The sequence below is a fragment of the Homo sapiens genome, chromosome 1 (genome assembly GCF_000001405.40).
Source record: "Homo sapiens chromosome 1, GRCh38.p14 Primary Assembly".
Classification (NCBI taxonomy): domain Eukaryota; kingdom Metazoa; phylum Chordata; class Mammalia; order Primates; family Hominidae; genus Homo; species Homo sapiens.
This window is the reverse complement of record NC_000001.11, coordinates 105,473,309-105,495,329: the sequence shown is the minus strand read 5'-3', so window position 1 is coordinate 105,495,329 and position 22,021 is coordinate 105,473,309. Positions and strand designations below refer to the sequence as shown.

The window sequence follows — 22,021 nt, the reverse complement described above, 5'->3', positions numbered from 1 at the left end:
CATTTTGTTGCCCTAGCTGGAGTACCAGCCTTGACTTTCCAGATCAAGTGACTCTCCTACTTCAACCTCCCTACTACAGGTGTGCACAGCTACACCAAATTAATTTTTTTTAAATGTTTATTAGAGACAGAGTCTCACTATGTTGCCCAGGCTAGCAGTGTTCTCTTTACCTGATTAGACTTTATTATTTAATTTAAATATGAGAGTCCAAAATTAAAATATATATATTTTTAAATACTGAAACCCGCTTTTTTTTAATTACAGTCAGATCACACCTCTCCTTTTACAGATAACATTGCTTGAAGGAAGACAGAACTATGCTACTCAGGAATAATGATGGACAAATCATATGGGTACATTAGAGTTGAACATTCCCAACTTGTTTCACTCTGACTAAACAGATCCAAGTTTCTAACTCAGATTTTGTTTCTCTCCTTTTTAACCTTTGCCTTAGGATATGACTAAACACAATACAAACTGACTTTTCTTCCCGGAAAAATGTTCTAATATGGAGTCAGTAAAACTAACGGTTTTCACCATTGGCTCATTTGCTGTTTTGAATGTTAGTGTAGGGAATGAAAGAATGTTAGGACTTGAATTCCAAATGGAAAATTTACATAAAGTTACTTATATATCATGCATAGATAACTAAGTTAGTTTTCCAAGAATCCAAACACTACAAAACGTAATGTAATGTAATATTCTTTTTTGAAATTTTATTGTATCTAAATTGTAAAATCATTGTAATTCTCAGTCAATTCATTAAAAAGCACTTTACCTCCTCTCTGGCCGGAGCACTGGGTCTTCCCTATTTGTATGCAGTATCATATATACTGTGTTTTGAATGAAATGTACTGACATAGTTTAAATGCTGACTATTTTCTCATTGTATCATTTTCTTTTTGGTGGATCCTTTGAGAAGTAAATTTAGCATTTTGATCTATTATTTGACAACAAGCTTGATTCTTTTATTCAGTCGTATTGAAAACGATTACCTACATAAATTATAAACCTTCTATTACTCTTTTGTTAACATCTTACATTTTTTTGTTTTGATTTAAACTCATGAGTTACTTTTTTTTAGGCAACTAATCTTCAAACCAAAAAAGGAAGCATTCACCAGAAGATATGCCTTGAAGTAACTATTTGTTCTCTTATATCCAAGAAACCATTTGCCTCCTTTTGTGCAAGCAGATGTACCAGTTTCAATCCACCAGTCTTTAGTTCTACAGCAGATCTCCCTAGATGGCATCACCAATACACAAAAATTAGTTATTATCCTCCAAAGCCTTCAGCTATACAATTTTTGACTTGTTCCCTTTATCATTAATACATTACTTTAAATGTTTTGAGGACAGAGACCCTTTCTCTTTGTTCATTTTATTCCAAGGGTCTAGAGTGTTCCATGTACATGATAAATACTAATTCAAGATGTATGAAATGCCTGGAAATAATTATAATTACATACGTCAAAATTTAGTTACTATATATTTAAAATATAGAAAATACTATCTTGGCTAACCCGGTGAAACCCTGTCTCTACTAAAAATACAAAAAATTAGCCAGGTGTGGTGGCAAGCGCCTGTAGTCCCAGCTACTCGGGAGGCTGAGGCAGGAGAATCACTTGAACCCGGGAGGCAGAGGTTGCAGTGAGCCAAGACTGCACCATTGCACTCCAGCCTGGGAGACAGAGAGAGACCCCATCTCAAAAAATAGTAATAATAATTAATTTTAAAAAATATAGAAAATAAATTATTCTAATTATTCTTAGTTAAATAATTTTGAATAATTTCTGCAATAAAGTTTTTCTAATAATGGAAGAAAAAAAAACACAAGCATTAAATGATTCGAGACATGCTTATAATTTTATCTATTCAGCTGGGAATGTTTTCCTTAAAGAATTACACAATTTTGTTTAATTTTACTATTATCCAGGAATAATAGGAGAATTTTTAGGCATTTTATACATCTTTAATTACTACTAATTGTATACCTTAAACATCTTAGTCTCTTGGATTATATATAGTATTTCTGCTCTACCAAAACTTTCCAACCCAATTTTTTTTTTTTTTTTTTTTTTTTTTTTTTTGCTTTTCACACAGGGCCTTGCTCTGTCACACAGATGGGAGTGCAGTGGCGTGATCTCAGCTCACAATCTCCGCCTCCCAAGTTCCAGCAATTCTTGTTCCTCAGCCTCTAGAGCAGCTGGGATTACAAGGTATGCAACCACATGAAGCTAATTTTTGTACTTTTAGCACAGACGGGGTTTCATCATTTTGACTAGGCTGGGCTTGAACTCCTGACCTCAAGTGATCCACACGCCTTGGCCTCCCAAAGTGCTGAGATTACAGGCCTGAGTCTCTGCACTTGGCTCCAACCCAGATTTTTCAGGCTCCCCCAAGGATAATTCCTTTAAAGCACAAACTATTTTATGTCTGTTGATTAAAATTATTTGATGGATTTCTCCATTTTTCAGAATAAAATACTATATTTTAATTTTATTTTCAGAACAAGCAAGATTCTTATTGTAATTGTGCATGTTTAGGCTTTACTTTTATTTTGCTACTCAACTCAATATGCCTGTATGTTTTGGTCAATCTGGAAATTCCCTCACACCTTTTCATACTGTATTGCCCTCTACTTGTAATACACTCCTGCTGAAGTACACCCTCCTCTCCTACTATATATCGCTCATTTATAACTCTCCTACTTTATGTCACAGAATATTTCACTTTTCTAGGCTTCCTTCACAACATAATCTTATGGTTATTATAGGATTTATCAAATTGAATTGAATTTGTGTTTCTTTTTATGTGTCCACTGTAATGTGGTGAATGGAAGAAATTGAATGAATATTCATATTTTTACTTTTGTTCATTCCTGTGTTTCTGCTCCTAGGACAAGTCAATTAGATTAAATTTACCATTTACCTACTAATGTACTTAAGCATTAACATAGATTTTGACTTTGCCTTACAATTCACTTTTTTTTAAAATTGTTCCACACTCAAATGAATTTCATAATTCTCTCAACAATTCTCACATTTAAGTACTACTCATCCTAGGCTTCAGTAGATCGGCATGCATTTCAGATGAAATACATGTAATATGATTCTTTTTCCTATGCATAAGATGATTGAATCTTGCAATCACTTTTGAAAAAGGAAAAAAATAAGTTAAGTGAATAAAAGTATGTTATTTGAATATTAATAAGCAGAAATAATTTTCTCTTTTAGTCTCTTTTCTTTATAAGATTTTATTGCATTGAATATTAAAAATCATTTTTACAGTCAAAATTTAAATACAAATCAATTGTGTCTTAAGAAAAATGTTTATAACACACATATTCAACAGACGTTTTTACATAAAACTCTTCCTGTAAAGTATTGATTAATTGAAACTATGCTCTTAGATTTTTTACAATATTATACACTATAAATTCAAGCACACCTAACTGGTTTTAAGGTGTACAATGGTCATTCAATTTAAAATGCCATATCTAAAGTTTTCATTATCCTTGTAGTAGCAGAAGTTTTGTTTCTGCTCCATGCCAATTCTTTAGATTCTGTCAATCGAATTTATCACAGTAGATCACAAAGCATAATCTCCTCAATTATTGTCTCTATTTCTGAGGCTAAGGACAGGGTGTTTCATGTCCCATTTATCCTCTTGTTGAACATTTGTTTCAGGTGGTTTATATTCATGTTTCATGTATTGCTAATTCATTCTCATATTTATTTTTGACACTTAAGCTATGGACATTAATCTTTTCATGGTAATGCTTTGTTTCCATTTTTTTAACACATAAAAAAGACATACAAAATTTATTTTAGTGTGCATAGCATGGGGAAACCACAGGAGAATGATTATCCAATAACCCAATGGGAAACAGAAGCTTATATACCCCCTTTCAAAGGCAAGAGGGAGATGGGAATGGAGGCAATTATTTTAAGGGCCAGCAAATGATTATTAGGATAAGTGAAGAGACAGAAATTAACTTGTAAATGATTCTTACTGGAACTTGAATGAGAGACAGGTATTGTTTTGTTTAAAGGCACTTCCAGGTGTGGTTGCATTCGTCATTATACTTTGTTTCTTTTTTGAGACAGAGTCTCACTCTGTCATCCAGACTGGAGTGCAATGGCACAATCATTTCTCACTCCAGCCTTTACCTCCAGGCTCAAGCAATCCTCTTGCCTCAGCCTCCTGAGTACCTGAAACTGCAGGTGCACACCATCATGCCCAGGTGTTTTTGTTTGTTTTATTTTGTTTTGTAGAAATAGAGTTTCATCGTGTTGCCCAGGCTAGTCTGAAACTCCTGGGCTCAAGTGATCTGCTCACCTCAATCCTCCCAAAGTGCTGAGATTATCAGAGGCGTTTGAACCAGGGCAACTTTTCTTAAATAGGGGATGGATAAAATAAGGCTGAGATCTACTAGGCTGCATTCCTAGGAAGTTAGGCATTGCTAGTCACATTATAAATAGGCGGTCAGCACAAGATATAATCATAAAGACCCTGGTGATAAAACAGAATGCAATCAAGAAGCTAATCAAAACCCACCAAAACCAAGATGGTGATGAAAGTGACCTCTGCTCATCACTCTCACCGCTCATTGTTTACTAGTTATAATACATTAATATGCTAAAAGACAGTGCCTCCAGTGACATGACAGTTTACAAATGCCCTGGCAATGTCCAGAAGTTATGCTATATGGTCTAATATGGGGAAGAATCCTCAGTTCTGGGAATTGCCCACGCCTTTTCCAGAAAACTCATAAATAATCTACCACTTGTTCAGCACATAATTAAGAAACAACCATTAAAAATAGCCAACCAGCAGCCGTCATTGCTGCTCTATGTAGTAGCCATTCCTTGGGGTTTTTACTTTATAAACTTGCCCTCACTTCATACTTTGGACTGGGCCCAATTTCTTTGTTGTGCCAAATCCAAGAACCCTCTCTTGGGATCTGGATCTGGACCCCTTTTGGGTAATAAGGTTACAGGCATGAGCCACCACGCCTGGCCCCTCAGTCTTTTTTTCTGTGATAGAAGATGAGATTTGAGGGAGGTGATGAACAGTAATTGTGTTGTTTTTGAAAAGAAGCTTCCATGGTCAGATAAGCAAATGCCAGAGTGATTCCTCCTCTGTGTGATTGCCTCCCTGGCCGCAAGAGAAGGTTAGAGGCACCTTGAGTGTTCGGCAGCTTTTAAAGCCTCTACTCATATCAAAGAGCCAGTCTTTGTGGTGTTGCTTTCTGACCCCCAACATTTTTCATTTCTAAAACTTTCCTAGAAATTTCATTTGTGAAAGAATGCCCCAAGGTGACAGACAAAATATACTCACTGTGGTGCTCAAACTTAAAACAGAACGAAACATCCATGGCTGGGCGAGAGAGGGGTCATACACTGTGTTCTCAGAAGAATGTTGTGAAAGTGTCATTGAACCCCCTTTTCTACAACCAAATCAAACCAGTTCCTGTTGTTGGTGCCAAGATCAACTGTGGCCCGAGCCTCCTCAACCACCCACTGGCCATTTGCAAGAAACATCTGATGGAGACTTCTCCTTTGGGTATGGAAACCATATAATCAGGGCTCAAAATTTATTGACCAGTCAGAACTGAACAAGTTTGTTTCTTTCATTTGCATAAATAGACCTGATTAAGAACCTGGGCAAGAACTTTCCTTATTTAAGCCACACTCTACCTTTGTTCATCAGAGAGTAGACTTTCACTTATACTGAAGTTGTGCCTTTCCAATCGGCAGATTTTTTTTTTAATAGGAAATAAGCTTCTCCTTGTTCCTCTGTGGATTTCAATGATACTTTTTAATACATTAAAAGCTGAATTAGTGTCCGTGGGGAGAAAAATTAAGTAAATATCTGAATGACAAAGGATGTGATTAAATGACTCTCCCATTTCTGGGAATAAGCCAGTCCAATTAAACAATTGTGTCTCATCAGGAAATAAAATGGCAGATAAGATCTCAAAAGTAGGACCCTATATATAACCCAGAAAAACAGATTTTTAATAAAAAGCATTTCTATGGAAATAGAAGAAAAACAAAGCTAATGTTTGGAGTAGTCTATAAATCGGTTTTTTGGGGGAGTCTTTGAGGCATCTTCACTTAGAGTGAGCAGGAAGTGGTAATCTGACAGACTTCTGGATTCTGGTTCAAATCAGGTATTCTGGCGCACTTTCTAAGTAGTTCATACATCAACAGGCTCTTCATATAGAAGTTGCTATAGTGATTTCTCTCCATGTTTATATCAAGTTTTCTAGCTTCAGTTTGTAGAATCTTAAGAAAAGCACATTTAATTTCTAATAATTTTAAATGAAAAGAGTGGGAAAAATAATTGGAGATGTGAGTCTGGAGAGTCATAGTCATATATTTTAGGGAATTAAAAGTTTAAGATTCAGTCCAGATAATAAAAAAATCTCAAAAACAAATGGGCAGTGCCAGAATCTAGTAACAGTCATACTACAGGTTTTCTTCATGAAATATTTTTTTTTCTCTTCAGTTCCCTATCTCTATTGAAGATAAATCATGGTGAGAGCAATTTATTTGCAAAATATATTTTAATCTTATTATACTTGGGCTTATTATTTGCATAAAGTTCAGTAAAAATAGTGATTGGCCATATAGGTACTTTTTAAGTTGAATTTACTGAGATTTTTTCATAAGAAATTTCAGATTCGATTTTTAAAATTCTCCTGAGGCTTAAGAGCCAAGGCAAAGTCTGTATCTATGACACTTGTGTATATTGGGTGAGTTCCTCTCTTCTCGAGGCCCCCAAAATATCTTGAGATATGTGAGAAATTGACATCGTTTACTTACTGCAAAGTCAGGAACCTGGTAAGGGAACCACATTAACAAGGTACCAGACAAGTTTTTCCAAGAGTCTTTGTATTGGCTCCATGAAAGGTCAACTTCAATTACTCAAAAAAACGTGGTCATATCAGAAAATGTGTCATTTCAGTCAAAGCCTCAGTAAAGTAACGCGTGATTTCAATTGTGTCTTGCCACAAAAGTGTACAGATTCTTACTGAACTTATGCAAATAACTATATTGCTATAAAATAAGAACACTCAGGAATAATTGCTAAATTCTGGGGGATTACGTAAAGAGAAAGATAAATGTTTCAATTATGCTCACAAAAGCATACTTTACCCAACTGCTGTAAGCTATAAGTAGCTTTTTAAGAAACAGTTTTCTTTACTGAGAAACAAACAAATCAGCAATGTTTCAAATCAAAGTAAAATAAGAAATTATTTCAGTCCTCTACCAATTCACTCACATGTAATTAATATTTGTTCTGCTTGATGTTACGTGACCAAATTTATGAGTCCAGTTTTTACTCTCCATTGGAATTTTTGAAATTCTTACATAGTCTAATTGAATAATCCCAAAATCATCAACAGAGGTCTGTATTTCAGAGTAACTGTCAGTCTTTTTATTATTTAAAGGAATCTCTTTGAAGATACAATATTTAGGATTACAGTTTATTGCAAAGATGCTTTAGATGAAGCTTAAAAAGAAGGCAATGAACTGTGGACAGCAACACTTAGATGGTCACAGTGAAAGAGCTCATAAGAGTTTATAATAATGATGTGATTGATAACAGAATTTGGTTATCTTCTGTGGTCTATAGCAATTTTACGGAATTGCCATAACTTTTTACCTATGTCACATTTCTGAACGTATCAGCTACTTAAGACTCTCATATAAATTTGTAACATATGTTAATACATTTATACAAATATGACTCAAAAAACATTTAAACATAATTCCCTTTTTGAATATTCTTTCTGTATAATTTAACATGTCAGATTAGCCTAAAATACTTTTCCTGGACTTCCAAGGTCCCTTTTGGAAGGTCCAAAAGTTAGTTTGATGTCAATAGACTTAATTTATAATGTGAAATTTGATATTGGGCAGTATGTCAAATACATCAAAGGTGTAAAACACTTGATCAAAATAAAATAATTATAAAATAATAGTATTTTAGCCAAGGTAATAATGAAAATATTTCAAAAACTTTACTCTTTGATAAGGAGGAGATAGTTGCCTAAATAATTATAGACCTAACAAGAGTAGCATTACTAATATAAAATCTATATTTCCTTTTCTCCTTTTTTCTCTTTCTTTTTATTTGCAGTTTACTCAAAAGTTAAATAAGAAATCTTTACTATTGTGTTAATATTTACACAAAAATCTGGTTCAAAAGAGAAAATCAAATTCTAACTTTGCATTAGTGTATGTTAAGGTTCAATTTTAAAATCTATATGATAAATTTATTAAATTTTGGTCAGTTTAACAACACTAAACTTTGAAATACTCTTTTCCTTTTACTTTCTGGACCTATTTAGTTCTATCTACATTATTTTTATTTCTCTGAAACAGCAATTTGAAACCTCTAATCTGGACAAAATTAATTTTCCTTTAACAAAAGCCAAAACTTTATATCTTTTGTATAACCTTCCTTATAAAAAATATATCCTTTTTAATATACCCTGTATACAAAATTGTTTGTTTATATCTATTAGTTTTAATAACATCTGTTGATTATAATTTTAACTCTATTTTAATCATAATTTTCGGTGAAAAACCTAGGAAGTAATCAGTTTTAATTGTTACATACTAGATGCAGAGCCAAAGATAGAGGAAAGAACTTGAAGACAATGCCTGAAGAATCAACACCTCCCAGCATGGCCAGGAGGCAGAGCTGGACCAGGGAGGATTGGTAAATGTTGAGCTTGGGCCTGCCCTGCATCTCTTGGTGCAGATACTATAAACACATGTATGTGTGGAGGCCTTGTCATGGCCATTCTAGAAATCAGAATCTACAGGCTCAAAATAAGACATATCCTCAAAGATAAGTCAAGGAAGTATCAAAAATATCAGAGAAGGAACAGTTTTATGACAGAAAAACATAGAGTAGAGATAGTATAAATTTTGTCTGACCAGTATACCTAGGCAAAAATGTCTAAAATTCTGAAGACATTTTTAATTTATTTTACCAACAATTTTAAAACTAGTTTATTTATCAAATATTACTAAAGTCATGTGAACTTGAAAAGCATTTGGGTTAGTTATTCAATTTATGAGTACTCATTTATTTATAAGTTAATTTGTTACCACAAACACAAAATACAAAGACATGTACACATATATACATAGAAGTAAAGACAAGCATAAATAGTATATAACTTTGATTTAATTTTTTTTTCCATGAGACAGGTAAAATTCACAAGTTTAAAAGGGTAGTTGGATTAAACCGTGTCTCCGTAAATGAAAAAGTTAGTCTATCTGTCCCCCATGGCCAAAACCTTTATCAAGTTTCAGATAAAAGAGGGTAACAAATTACATCTCAGAGCACAGAGAGAATATTTAAGCTATTTCAAGGATAAATTTGAGCATGTTAGAGAAAGACTAAAAATTGATGTCAAGGTAATTCAGAAATAATAGAGATTAAACACAGGATTCCATAAAGAGACCAATTTTTAGTTACGTAAATAGTTTCCAATTTAGTCTTCATTTTCAACTAGACCACTGAGGTCAGGGCAAAGCCCATCAATGAATAATGCCAACAAAGCATTTGTAGTTTCCAGGGCCTACTCTTTATATATATGAAAAGCGGGTGCAGCTGGAAGGCAGAGCACCTAGATCCACAGAAATCAAGAATCTAATTTTTGCACTAACTCCTGTATTAACCAGAGTTGAAACAAATGCTCAAGAGAAATGTCGCTCAGCTAGGCTGTGCAATGCTTCCACAGTGCCCTTCTCTGTACGAACATTCTCCCAAGGCTAGGAAGCAATCTGATTTCAATCAGCCTGCTTTGTGATTAGCCCATCAACCATAGAAGTCTCATACTTCAGTGGTGAGTTTTCTCATAGCCCCCACATATCCAAACTGTGCTTTTAGTATCTAAATGTACAAAAAATGAATACCATCCTGTGGTAATAATCATTCATTGCAACTGCTATCAGTCATCTCCAAAATTACAGTCCTCTCTCCAGTGACTCACCAACCATTACACACCAACAGGTCAAGTTCTCTCTCACAGTATGTAGTAATTCCTGTTAACCCCCAAAAGCCCAAGAAATCAGGGAACTCAATGCAAAACAGATCAGAGCTTTAGGCCTCAGGAGAACCTGCCCCTGAATCTTGGGGCTTCATGAGGAAGACAGAAACGTCCCTCAAAAGAGAGTGTGTGACACCTTTACTTTGTGTTCCTCAAGGGGTTTCAGTGCTTCTAGAAGTCCCTTTTAGATTTCTTCATGAGATATCAAAGGTAGCAAAAAAGGAAGGCATAGTAGAAGTAAATTGTAGAATAAGTATTAGAGAAGACAATTTGAGGAGATTTTAAACTTCCCAATAAGGTCAATGAGGTTTTACATTTTTCTCAACAAAAGTTATGCCAACAAGGAAGGAAGCAACAAAGAAATGGAACATCAATGCTTAAAAAAGGGATTCATTTGACTGAAAAAAAAATACTCAGGGAAGAAATAAGATCCAAAAGAGAAAAAGCAAATAGGTCTTTAAAAATATATTTAGCTTAAATATCAGCTTTTAATTAAGCCAAATTTTGCACATAAAGCTCATTAAAAAAAACAAGCAACCACAAAAGCTTCTCAAATAAAAACAGAAACCAATAAGCTTTTTTTTGACTTAACCAACAATTCATAAGTTGTCCTTAAAGAGGTATAAAGAAGCTGTCCTCACAAAATCTAGACCCACTCCCCAAAGACAACTAAGAGAAAAAGGAGACTTAGATTAACTTCTTAAGACTGGCAATAGTCAGTATGCTAGCTGCAAATGAGGTCCAACTAATGTTTTGTCAGGCCATCTTGATTTTTTTTTAATGATGTCTTCAAGCTTTTGGTTGTGTTTCTACACAAGCAAACATGATAACTTGCATTCCCCCAACAGGAAGTAAGCCAAACCAAGTTCTCAGTTCACAAAGAAGTATGACAAAAAAACAGTAGCTGTCCATGAAAGGGAAAAGGATCAATAACAAATAGGTTCACAAAAAAAAACAAGTCACACAAATATCAAACTAATTTTTATACACTTCCACCCACCCCCCGAGTTAAAGGATTTGCATCTCTAAAGGACTGGTTTCTTCACCAAAAATCAAACATAGTCTTCAGTAGTAAAACTGTGGAATCCTAACCACTAGACTGCATGCTGGAGTATATTCTTTGTAAATCATTCAGGGGTTCCAAAGCAAGAAGTTCGAGATTTAGGTTTAAATCTGATTTCTTTTTTCTCTTTCAAAAGTCTTGCCAAGTGAATTTCTAAGGCTATTTCCCTTTTGTATCTATTCATAGGTACCAATAAGATAGCTGTTTAGAACAAGAGCTCTTTTAAAAATGTTCTTTATTAAAACACAATTTATTCCTTATGTAGGTGACCTAAGCCAATAAGACTTTTTCATGGGAAGTCCCAAAGGTAACGTTCCAGATTCAGAATACAATGGACAAAAGGAACATTTTTTAAATGGGCACAAAAGATGCAGCCTCCCATACCCCAAAAAATTCACTTCCACAAGTAGATTAAGATAGCAAAATACTCTTGTAGCCACAAATAGTTAAGAGTGGTGTTTGCACATAGAAAGAGTTCTGCATTCCACAAAGGAATGCTGGCTCCCAATCACAGACCCATGAATCCAGAACACTGAATAGGTCCTCCTGGGATATAGTTATCCTAAGATTAACCAGGCAACAAGACTTAAGACAACAAAAGCCCTTTATGGAGAGAAATTATTAAGACAAATACCCCTGAGGGCTTTGCACATTTGAAACAGAGTGAGATGCTTAAGATCTTAGGTGTTTCAGAGTTTCCAATCTTTTCAGACTAGTCACCAGAAGTGACCAAAAATTATATCCCCCAGATAGTGAGTCCAAGAGTGTTCTTACTTTGTCACAAGTCAAGCTCTCCAGGACATAAACAAGACTAGAGAGGAATCTCATCTAGCTTTCATATTAGGGTCTATGGTATCCCTTTTTATGACAAAATGACACAGGAAGACAGTCACGAAGGAACAAAAAAAGACTGTTTCTGGGAGGAATAGGGTCAGACATTATAAACATTTATACTGCTGCACCTGAAGATAGCCTGTGTAAATGTTTTTCTCCCATTAATCAACATTTTAGAGAGGAAAAGAAGACAAACAGAGATTTTTTTTTACCATTCACTCAACCAGATTCCACAGAAACAGACCAGGATCCTGACTGGTAAGAGATTCTTTCTCTTCTATTAATTTGTCAGGTCCTTGATTTCCTTAATTTTGACTTGCAGCAGACTAGAGCAGTTTTGATTATCCTGCTCACAGCAACAAAACTGCAGGGGTCAAAGAAAAATACCCGCTTTCCCTTTGATGGTTTGCTGAAAATCAACTAACAAAAAGCAAATTAATAGAAGAAAAGTCATATAAAATTTAATTTAACATGAATAGCATGGAGGAGTTGCAGGAGAATGATTATTTCTGTTGTTTCCATTTTTAAAATGTATATATTGCCTTCAGATATTGGCTTTTATTTCATTTATTCTTTATTTTCTTCTCTTTTTTTTTAGCTTCCAGTTAGAAATTGTTTTTGCTCAACCTGAAGATTTATTAAAATCCTTATAAAATTTAATTTAATATTTAACATTATTAACAGATAACTATATCTGCTCTCATTTTTATGAGGCCTAGATACTATGTATTTCAAATTTATGCAAATTCCTTACATCCAAATTGGTAGATTTTGAAACATTTAAAAAAACTTTTCTAATAATTTTTTGAAATGATGAAAAGGCCAACAATAAATAAAAGTAACTTAATTTTGCTTAATTTACTAGTAGTAATGCACAGAAAATATGCCAAATTTAGTAAAGCATTGTTTTGTGATATTTTCTCCCCTCAAGATATTTTATAAGCATTGTTTTCTGCAAAATTTATCAAAATATTGTATACATACAAGAATGTGTAAAACTCATAATTGTAAAGCATAAGTTTTTACAAAGTGAACATATCTGTTTGACAATCTCCTAGATCAGAAATTTTACCAGAACCCTGAAAGCTCCTTTATAACCATTTCCTGCTGCAATAATTCTCCCCAAGGGTAATCACTATCCTGATTTCTAAATCCATACGGATTCATTTTTTCTAGTTCTTAAACTGTGTCCCAATTGAATCAATGTGTTTGAATTCTTAAACTTAATGCTATGTTTCTGAGGGTAATATGATTTAATGATTACTAATAATATGATTTAATGATTATTAATAATCATTAAGTTTCATTAGTCACTTGGTCTGTATGCCAGGAGTTTATGTGTCATTGAGATATCCTGAGGGAGCACAGGGAGTTGCAAATGTTAATTAATTAAAAATCACTTATTTGTTTCGTGTGAAATATTGTAGTTTACTTGTGCTCCATTAAATATATCTGTGTATTTTATAACAGTGTTAATTAAACTAATTATCACAAAATGTTTAGGTAAATTTTAAAAAGTATAAAAACTCCATGCAAAAAATAAAGTATTAAAGATAATATTGACCATGCAATTCTTCCTTGATAATGTTACTTGCTTTAATATTTTTCTTATGATATTAATACTGCCACATTTTCTTTCTTTCTTGGTTATTTGAAAGATACATCCCTTTTCATACTTTCATTTTATCTTAACTTTTTCAACCAAAATTATTTTCCATCTGACTGAAGAATTCATTTTTACCATTTCTTGTAATGAAACTTTGCTAGTGACTAATCTCTCAGGTTTTGTTTACTAAAACATGTAATTATTTGCCTTGAATTTAAGGCATAGAATCTCAAGTTGGCCGTTATTCTTTTTAAACACTTTAAATGCAATGATGTGTTTTCAGTTTTCCAACGTTTCTGTTGAGAAGTCAGTTGTCAATCTTAATGTTACTGTGTTGATAGTAATGTGTTTTATTTATTATTGCTACTTTTACTTTTTATTTTTATTTATTTATTTTTAAATTTTTTGAATTTATTTATTTTATTTTGAGATGGAGTCTCACTCTGTCGCCCAGGCTAGAGTGCAGCGGCGTGATCTCTGCTCACTACAACCACCACCTCCCAGGTTCAAGTGATTCTCCCGCCTCAGCCTCCTGAGTAGCTGGGACTACAGGCACATGCCACCACACCTGGCTCATTTTTGTATTAGTAGAGACAGGATTTCACCATGTTGGCCAGGATGGTTTCAATCTCCTGACCTCGTGATCCATCCACCTTGGCCTCCCAAAGTGCTGGGATTACAGGCATGAGCCACTGCGCCCAGCCTATTCTTGCTACTTTTAAGGTTTTGTTTTTATCTTTGGTTTTGTACAATTTCATGATGACATTTTTATTTATCCTGTTTGTAGTATTGATATGCCTCCAATGAGTGGAGTAACACCAGGTTCTCCGTTTCAAGTTGAACTGGAAGAAACGACATGGACACACGTAGAGTGGTTTTAAGGAGTGGAGAGTTTAATTGGCAAGAAAGAAGGAAGAAGGCAGAAGGAAGAAGCTCCCCTGTACAGAGACAGAGGGAGGGGGGCTCCAAAACCATAAGAGAAGGCCTGACATTTGGGGGATACCAGTCAGTTTTATGGATGGCTGGAGGAAGAGGTGTCTGATTTGCATAGGGCTCAGGGGATTGGTTTGGCCAGGCACGTCATTCATGTAGCCCACAAAATAGCTGGCCATTCCGCCCCAGTCTTTTAATATGCAAATGAAGGGCACCATGATGTCCTACACACGTTGGATATATGGGGCAGCCATGCTGCTAGGCGTATATGCGGGCAAGGGCAAGAAGACAATGGTGGGACTCACCATGTTGGGGAGACCCAGTTTCTAATGGCGTGCATTTGCATATCAAAGGTTGCTGGCCTGGCCTAAGGGCCAGGGCTTTCATGCTAGACGAGAAACATTTCTAGAGCTGTTTTAAAAATGAAAACTCTCCAAGGACCCCTTTTCCTCTCTATCTGCTTAAAATAACTTTAATAACTCCTACCACAGTATACTAAGATATTTGAAACTCTGAATGCAGTCTCTGAATTGCACTTTTAGATATTTATCAAAAACATTGCTGTTCCTTCACTTTCTCCTGTCCTCCTAAGTTTCCAATTATACACAGGTTATTAATAGAAGTTGTGAGCATGTCCTCTTTTATATTCTGTTAATGTATCAATTCTTTTTTTTCTCTTTGTCCTTCAGTTTCATTGTTTTCCATTCACCTGTCTTCCAGATCACAAATTCTGTGTTTTGATGTATGTCCAATTAGCTGTTAACCCTATTTTCTGGATTCTTAATTTTAATTTTAGTATACCCATTTAATTTATGTACTTAGGTTCCACTTTAAAACATGAAATTCTCCGTCTTTTCTGTTTCTCCCATCCTTTCCTTATGTCCATAAATTTTTGAGTCATACTTAAATTCTTTCTGTGATAAAATGAATAGCAATATTCCCTGTTTCTACTGTATTTTTTTGTTATAGGACATTTAATCTACACAAATATCAAATCTTTTAAATGACTTACTATGAATAAAATAAACTGAGAAGCTCCAGTTGATGTTGTCTTTAACCAGAGGAGGTATCCATTTCCTTGATCAGGCCAATACAATGAATAGCTGATTTTTGAAATCATTCGGGGATTTAGCTGATTTAGGACTTTTTTTTGTAGTTTTTGTATCACTCAGTCTACCTCTGAGCCATACTTAATCCCCAGGTATAGTTCATTCAGTTTATTGATTAAAAACTTAGTATGTCTGGGTCACCAAAGCCCTAAAACATTACAGGAGGTAAGGCCCTGTACTTTAGTAGTTGTGGCTTACTTTTTTGTTTTTCTCATACCAACTTCACACTTTAGTAAACCTCCTGATGGGGAATATGGTCATGTGTTTTGGGTAAACACCGCCCCTCAACATGTTTTCTAAGACAGAGATTTCATTCTACATTTCAGAAGTTTTCATTTTGTTTTTGTTTGTTTGTTTTTGCCTAGCTTCCTGCATTAGCTTCAGAACTTGGCAAGTATTCTGTAGGGAAAATCATGCTCATATTTGGAGTATTTCAGGATACAACTTTATTACTTCAGCAACATGTGTCTGCTAAAAGCTGCTTTCTGCTGCTTTCTGTGTTCTCAGCAAAGGTGACCGAGAGTTGGGGGGAAAAGACAAATGGAAATAAGCAGCTAATCATGAACAGATTCTCCACTCTCTGGAAGGTTAGATTATCTACAGTTGCTCTCCTTCATTAGTAGCATCAGTTATAATAATTACAAATAATATTATTGTATCTCAGCAAAGTAACTCTGATTGTGTGAGTCTACTGTAGGGTCCTAGAATCCACATTTTTAAAACAAATCCCTGGTGATTCTGATGCATTGAATCTTATATCACATATTATAGAACACAAGTCTAGTTATTACTCCAACTTATTTATTTTGCCTTAAAAAATGTATCCATTTAAATAATGAATAAATAATATCAGTTAAGTAAATAATAATATGAAAGTTTCAGTAACTAAATTAGTGAAAATAAAAATCTATGGCTATCTTATCCATCTTTCCCTGGTACAGCTGTCCTCTTTGGAAAGTTTAATATAATGAAACATTCAATATGTCCTTAGATAGTTATTAGTTGTTTGTAAACTGTAAGTTATGTGTAGATCCAGGATTTTCCTATTTTTTCATCTGTGAAAATTACCATGATGTTTGTCCTCTGCATCATTTATCTAGTTTGGTAGCACAGAGGGTATGAGATGTCCTGTGCAATTTTCTCTATTGGACTATTTAGTATTAAATCTGTTAGGATTCAAAAGTTCAGAAAAAATCTTTAGTTGTATTTTTTCGAGGTTTTTTTGTACCTATACCATATGCATAATATAAGAATTTATAATCTCGTTTATTAAACAGAAAAGAAATATTTGAGATAGTGAAAAATAAAATAAAATACTCTTTGATCATTGTTTCGTAAAATGAGAGATCTTGTTGATGATTGTGTCCCTGATAGGCCATGTAATTCCTCATTTAGAAACTCAGGAAATGGAGAAAATATAACATGCATTTTTTAAATTTGAGGCAATTAAAAGACTAACTTTTTAGAAAATATAGAGGTAGTCACAAAAGCATAGTATTAGTCTTATCAGTAACAAGAGAATAAAGAATCAAGATAGAATGAAAGCCATGCTGCTTTGTGTATTATTCAACATTTGCTATGGCAACATCAAATCCCAAGTTGATTGTGGATAATAGCAACAAATATTTATTTAGTGTTTAGATTTAGGAGGTCGGGTACAGCTCCTCTAACCTTTCTATATATTATCTTATTTTGGACTCCAGATGAAGAAGTAGCACAACCACTCAAATGCATTTAAAATGTTTTCTTGGATGTAATATACAACATGTCTGTTCACATTCCATTAATCAAACCAGGTTGTATGGCCAAGATCAGATTTAACACCACTGGAAAGCCAGCATACTCTATTTACAGAAATGGCAATGAGGAAGAATATAGTTATGAACAAATAACACACTTTACCAAATTTGAATTAGGTTTATGTCAAATACAGAATAAATAGTGTGAAAAATCCTTTTTCTGAAGAACTAAAAATTAAAAATAGTGTAAATACTTGGGTCCAATCAGCCAGGACAGAGAATTGCAACTCAGACTCCCATATAAAAGTAGGGTACTTCAAGTACTACACAGTGAGAAAAGTTGTCTAGAAAATATTCTAGTGACCAGGAAAAGAAGAAAGAAAATATATTATCTTAGTTTGGGCTCTTGGTTAATAATAATAATAATAATACTAATAAAATAATAAAATTATCTTCTGAGAATTTAAAATCACTGCTCTAGCCACAAATTATTGTGTACTCTCTCTCTCTCTCTCTCTCTCTCTCTCTCTCTCTCTCTATATATATATATATATATATCACCTACTTTATTTGGACATTTACATAAATTGATTCTATTAGAATAAGGTGGCCCAATGTATATCTATACGGTACTCAGCAGAAGGGGAACACCTTAAGACACTTTTGTCCTCCTTTTCAGTAGAGCTTAAAATAAACACTGACTTTCAAAAATTATGCTACTGACAAGAAATCTAGCCATTAAGAAAGTCAACAAAAACATAAAATGTGACAAGTAGGTATCTAAGGCCTTCAAAATTAGAATGATCAGAAAGATAAAATAAGTTAAAAAATGACTTGCAATTAAAAGAAAGACATAGAAAATCTGTTAATAAGATACCATAGAAAATAAAACTTTAAAATTAAATAAAATATTACTTCTAACATTTAAAAACAATTACATTTAAAACATAATTTATGCATTTTAAGCTATTATAAGAAACACTCCCATAAATATTCTTATATCTATATATGTAGATTTGTAAAATATAGTCTCATATATATAATATATATATATACACACACAGGTGCATGTTTTTATATTGCTTGGTTAAATACCTAGAAGTAGCATATCCTTGGTTATGTGGTAGTTTTACACTTAATTTCATAAGAAATTGGCTAACGTTTCTTCAAAATGATTGTGCAATTTTGCATTCTTACTACTAATATATGAGTTTCAGTACTGCACAGCTGCATCATCATTTGCTAATATTAGCCTTTTTAATGTTGGTCATTCTCATGGGTATGTCTTGATACTTTTTTTTTTATATGTCATTGTTTACTAGCAAGTGACTAAATAAATTCTGAAGCATCAGCAATAAAAAGTCAAAAACTATTCATACTTACTGTGGCATAGGTAAATAAAAAAAACAACATATTAATGAACGAAGACAAACACAAAGAGTGAATGTAGTTTGATTCTACATACATGAAACTCTAGGAAATGCAAAAGGGGCTGGGTGTGGTGGCTCCAGCCTGTAATCCTAAAAATACAAAAAATTTGTCAGATGTGATAGTGCATGCCTGTAATCCCAGCTACTCGGGAGGCTGAGGCAGGAGAATCCCTTAAATCTGGGAGGTGGAGGTTGTGGTGAGCCGAGATCGTGCCATTGCACTCCAGCCTGGGCAACAAGAGTGAAACTCTGTCTCAAAAAAAAAAAAAAAAAAAAGCAAAAGGACAGATCAATGGTTTTCTGAATTGAAGAGTAGATGGCAAACTGAATGGAAAGAATTCTGAATAAAATTTCGATAATATAAATATTCTTTTTTCTTTTGTGTGTGTGTGTGTGTGTGTGTGTGTGTGTGTGTGTGATGGAGTTTCACTCCTGTTGCCCAGGCTGGAGTGCAATGGCAAAATCTTGGCTCACTGCAACCTCTGCCTCCCGGGTCCAGGGGATTCTCCTGCCTCAGCCTCCCAAGTAGCAGGGATTACTGGCATGAGCTACTATGCCTGGCTAATTTTGTATTTTGTTTAGTATAAATGGGGTTTCACTCTGTTGGTCAGGCTGGTCTCGAACTCCTGAACTCAGGTGGTCCACCTGCCTCTGCCTCCTAAAGTGCTGGGATTACAGATGTGAGCCACCACACCTGGCCGATAATATAAATATTGTACGTGGTGTTTGTTGTGTTGCTGACTTAGGGTCAAGCGTCAACAACGTATATAATCTAAATAGCCAGCATATTTTGTACATAAATCATGTTTCAATAAAGATTATTTAAAATATTTTGAAAAATTAAATGAGATGATAGTTAAAAGAAAATGAGTAGAGTAGAAGGTAGATTTTTAGAAAATATTCAAACAACAAATGTACAGGATTAAAAGATATAAAGGAGAAATAATAAAGATACAAGAGGCTAAACTGAGGTGAACTAATATATGTATATTCATATTTTTAGGAGAAAATGGAATAATAGAGAGGAAATACTATTTAAATAAATAATTGATATTTTTAGAAAAATAGAATTACAATTCTTAGAAATAGATAACAGCACAGATCAAAAGTAGGATAAAGATAATTCAGTTTGCACAAGATACTATTCAACATATAGTTATTAATCCAAAGAATTCAAAATATAATAAAACTTTCTTAAACGAAAGTTTATCATTTAAGATATTTTAAATGAAAGATAATCAAGGACAATATCACTGATAGCATTCTCTTCAAAGTTTTTAAAAAAATATATAAACATATAGTTCAATCTGTGATTACATTGATTGGATAAAAAAGAATGATATCAAATTTACTTTATCAAATATATGTAATATTATCTAGGTAAAAATGACAGGCAAAGGCCAGGCTTGGTGGCTCACGCCTGTAATCCCAGCACTTTAGGAGGCCGAGGCGGGCAGGTTACCTGAGGTCAGGAATTCGACACCAGCCTGGCTAACATGGTGAAACCCCGTCTCTACTAAAAATACAAAAATTAGCCAGGTGTCATGGTGGGTGTCCCAGCTACTAGGGAGGCTGAGGCAGGAGAACAGCTTGAACCCACGAGACAGAGGTTGCAGTGAGCTGAGATCGCACCACTGCACTCCAGTCTGGACGACAGAGAAAGACTCCGTCTTAAAAAAAAAAAAAATTAAAATTAAAAAGTAAAAATAAAAATAAAACAGGCAAATCAGTTATGGTAGGGATAAATGGTACCTTCTACAACTATATTTATACATGGTAATCAAGTTAAACGAGGTCATTAGGGTGGGCCTCAGTATAATATGCCTGGTATTCTTAGAAGAGGAGAAAATTAAGGCAGAGACACAAAGGGAAGATGATGTGTAGCTGCAGGGAGAGATGGTTATCTGTAAGTCAAGGAGAGAGGCCTGGAAGAGATTTTTCTTTTATAACTCTCAGAAGGAACAAACCCTGGTGACATGTTGATCTTAATATTCTATCCCTCAGCAGTATGGAAAAATAAATGTGTGTTGTTTAAGCCACCCAGTATGTGGTACCTCGTTCTTGCAGCCCTAGCAAATGCAGATGATAATCAGAATTAAAGTATTATACAGCATTTGTACAGTTAATGAGAGATCTATAAATGTGTGATTAATTTTATCTTTCTTTTAACATTTATCTTTAACTTTTAAGGATGAGCACTCAAATACTAAAAATACAGTGTATATTTTACACGACTGTGTACAAAAAATATACATAATACTTAAGTCAAAACGAAGCAAGAAAAGAGAAATAACTGTAAATGAATCATGACAGAAAGTTCAAAATGCTACGAATCATCACAAATTTAACAGTAATCATAATAAATTTATGTGAAATAGTTTTCTGTATTCATGTGAAATTACATGAACATTTTCAAAATATATAAATCAAACTAAAATATATACAGCAAGTGGGTATTGGAAACTTCATAATTATTTTGACTTATTAGAACACATTTAAGATTTAATAGATCGGGCAAGCAAAAATCAATATAAATATATAATTTTCAATACCTAATTTAAAAGTTCAATTTGATAATTAAAGAATGCATGGTTGACTATTATCCAAGTATGAGGTAAGTTTCAATTACTTTAAAAATAAAACAACGGAGAAGGCATCTTCTGACTATAATTAAATTTAATTATGAAACTATAGAAATAGACCAGAATTTAAAGTAGTATGTAATTTAGATATTTTCCTTGTTCTTTCTAGAAATCACAGAAAACAAGAAAGAAAAATAAAACCACCACAAATTCCTAATTTAATCTTGACATGGAAGTACTTTAAAACACAAACAAGATTCAAGAGTAAACAAAGGCTCCAGCAAGGTGGCTCACACCTCTAATCCCAGCCGTTTGGGAGACTGAGGTGGACGGATCACTTAAAGACAAAAATTCAAGACCAGCCTGTGCAACATGGCAAAACCCTGTAATAATACAAAAATTAGCCGGGCATGGTGGCACGTGCCTCGTGGCACGTGCCTGTAGTCCCAGCTACTTGGGAGGCTGAGGCAGAAGAATCACCTGAACCTGGGAGGCAGAGGTTGCAGTTCACACCACTGTTCTCCAGCCTGTGCAACAGAGCAAGATTCTATCTTAACAACAACAACAACAAAAAGCAAACAAAGGGCAGGTACCTTGAAAAACATGAAGAGCAAATGCCATGGGTGCAGCATTCAGAAAGCTGGA

At 34.1% G+C, this 22,021-nt stretch overlaps 1 long non-coding RNA gene across 1 annotated transcript; it reads left to right on the top strand.

The window, feature by feature from the left end:
• The first annotated feature begins 5,372 nt into the window (after window positions 1–5,372).
• Window positions 5,373–21,728, top strand: LOC105378881 (uncharacterized). The gene is made up of 4 exons (XR_947658.1): window positions 5,373–5,567; window positions 8,640–8,738; window positions 15,991–16,212; window positions 21,546–21,728. It is a non-coding gene; the product is annotated as an uncharacterized LOC105378881 (long non-coding RNA).
• Window positions 21,729–22,021: the final 293 nt, after the last annotated feature.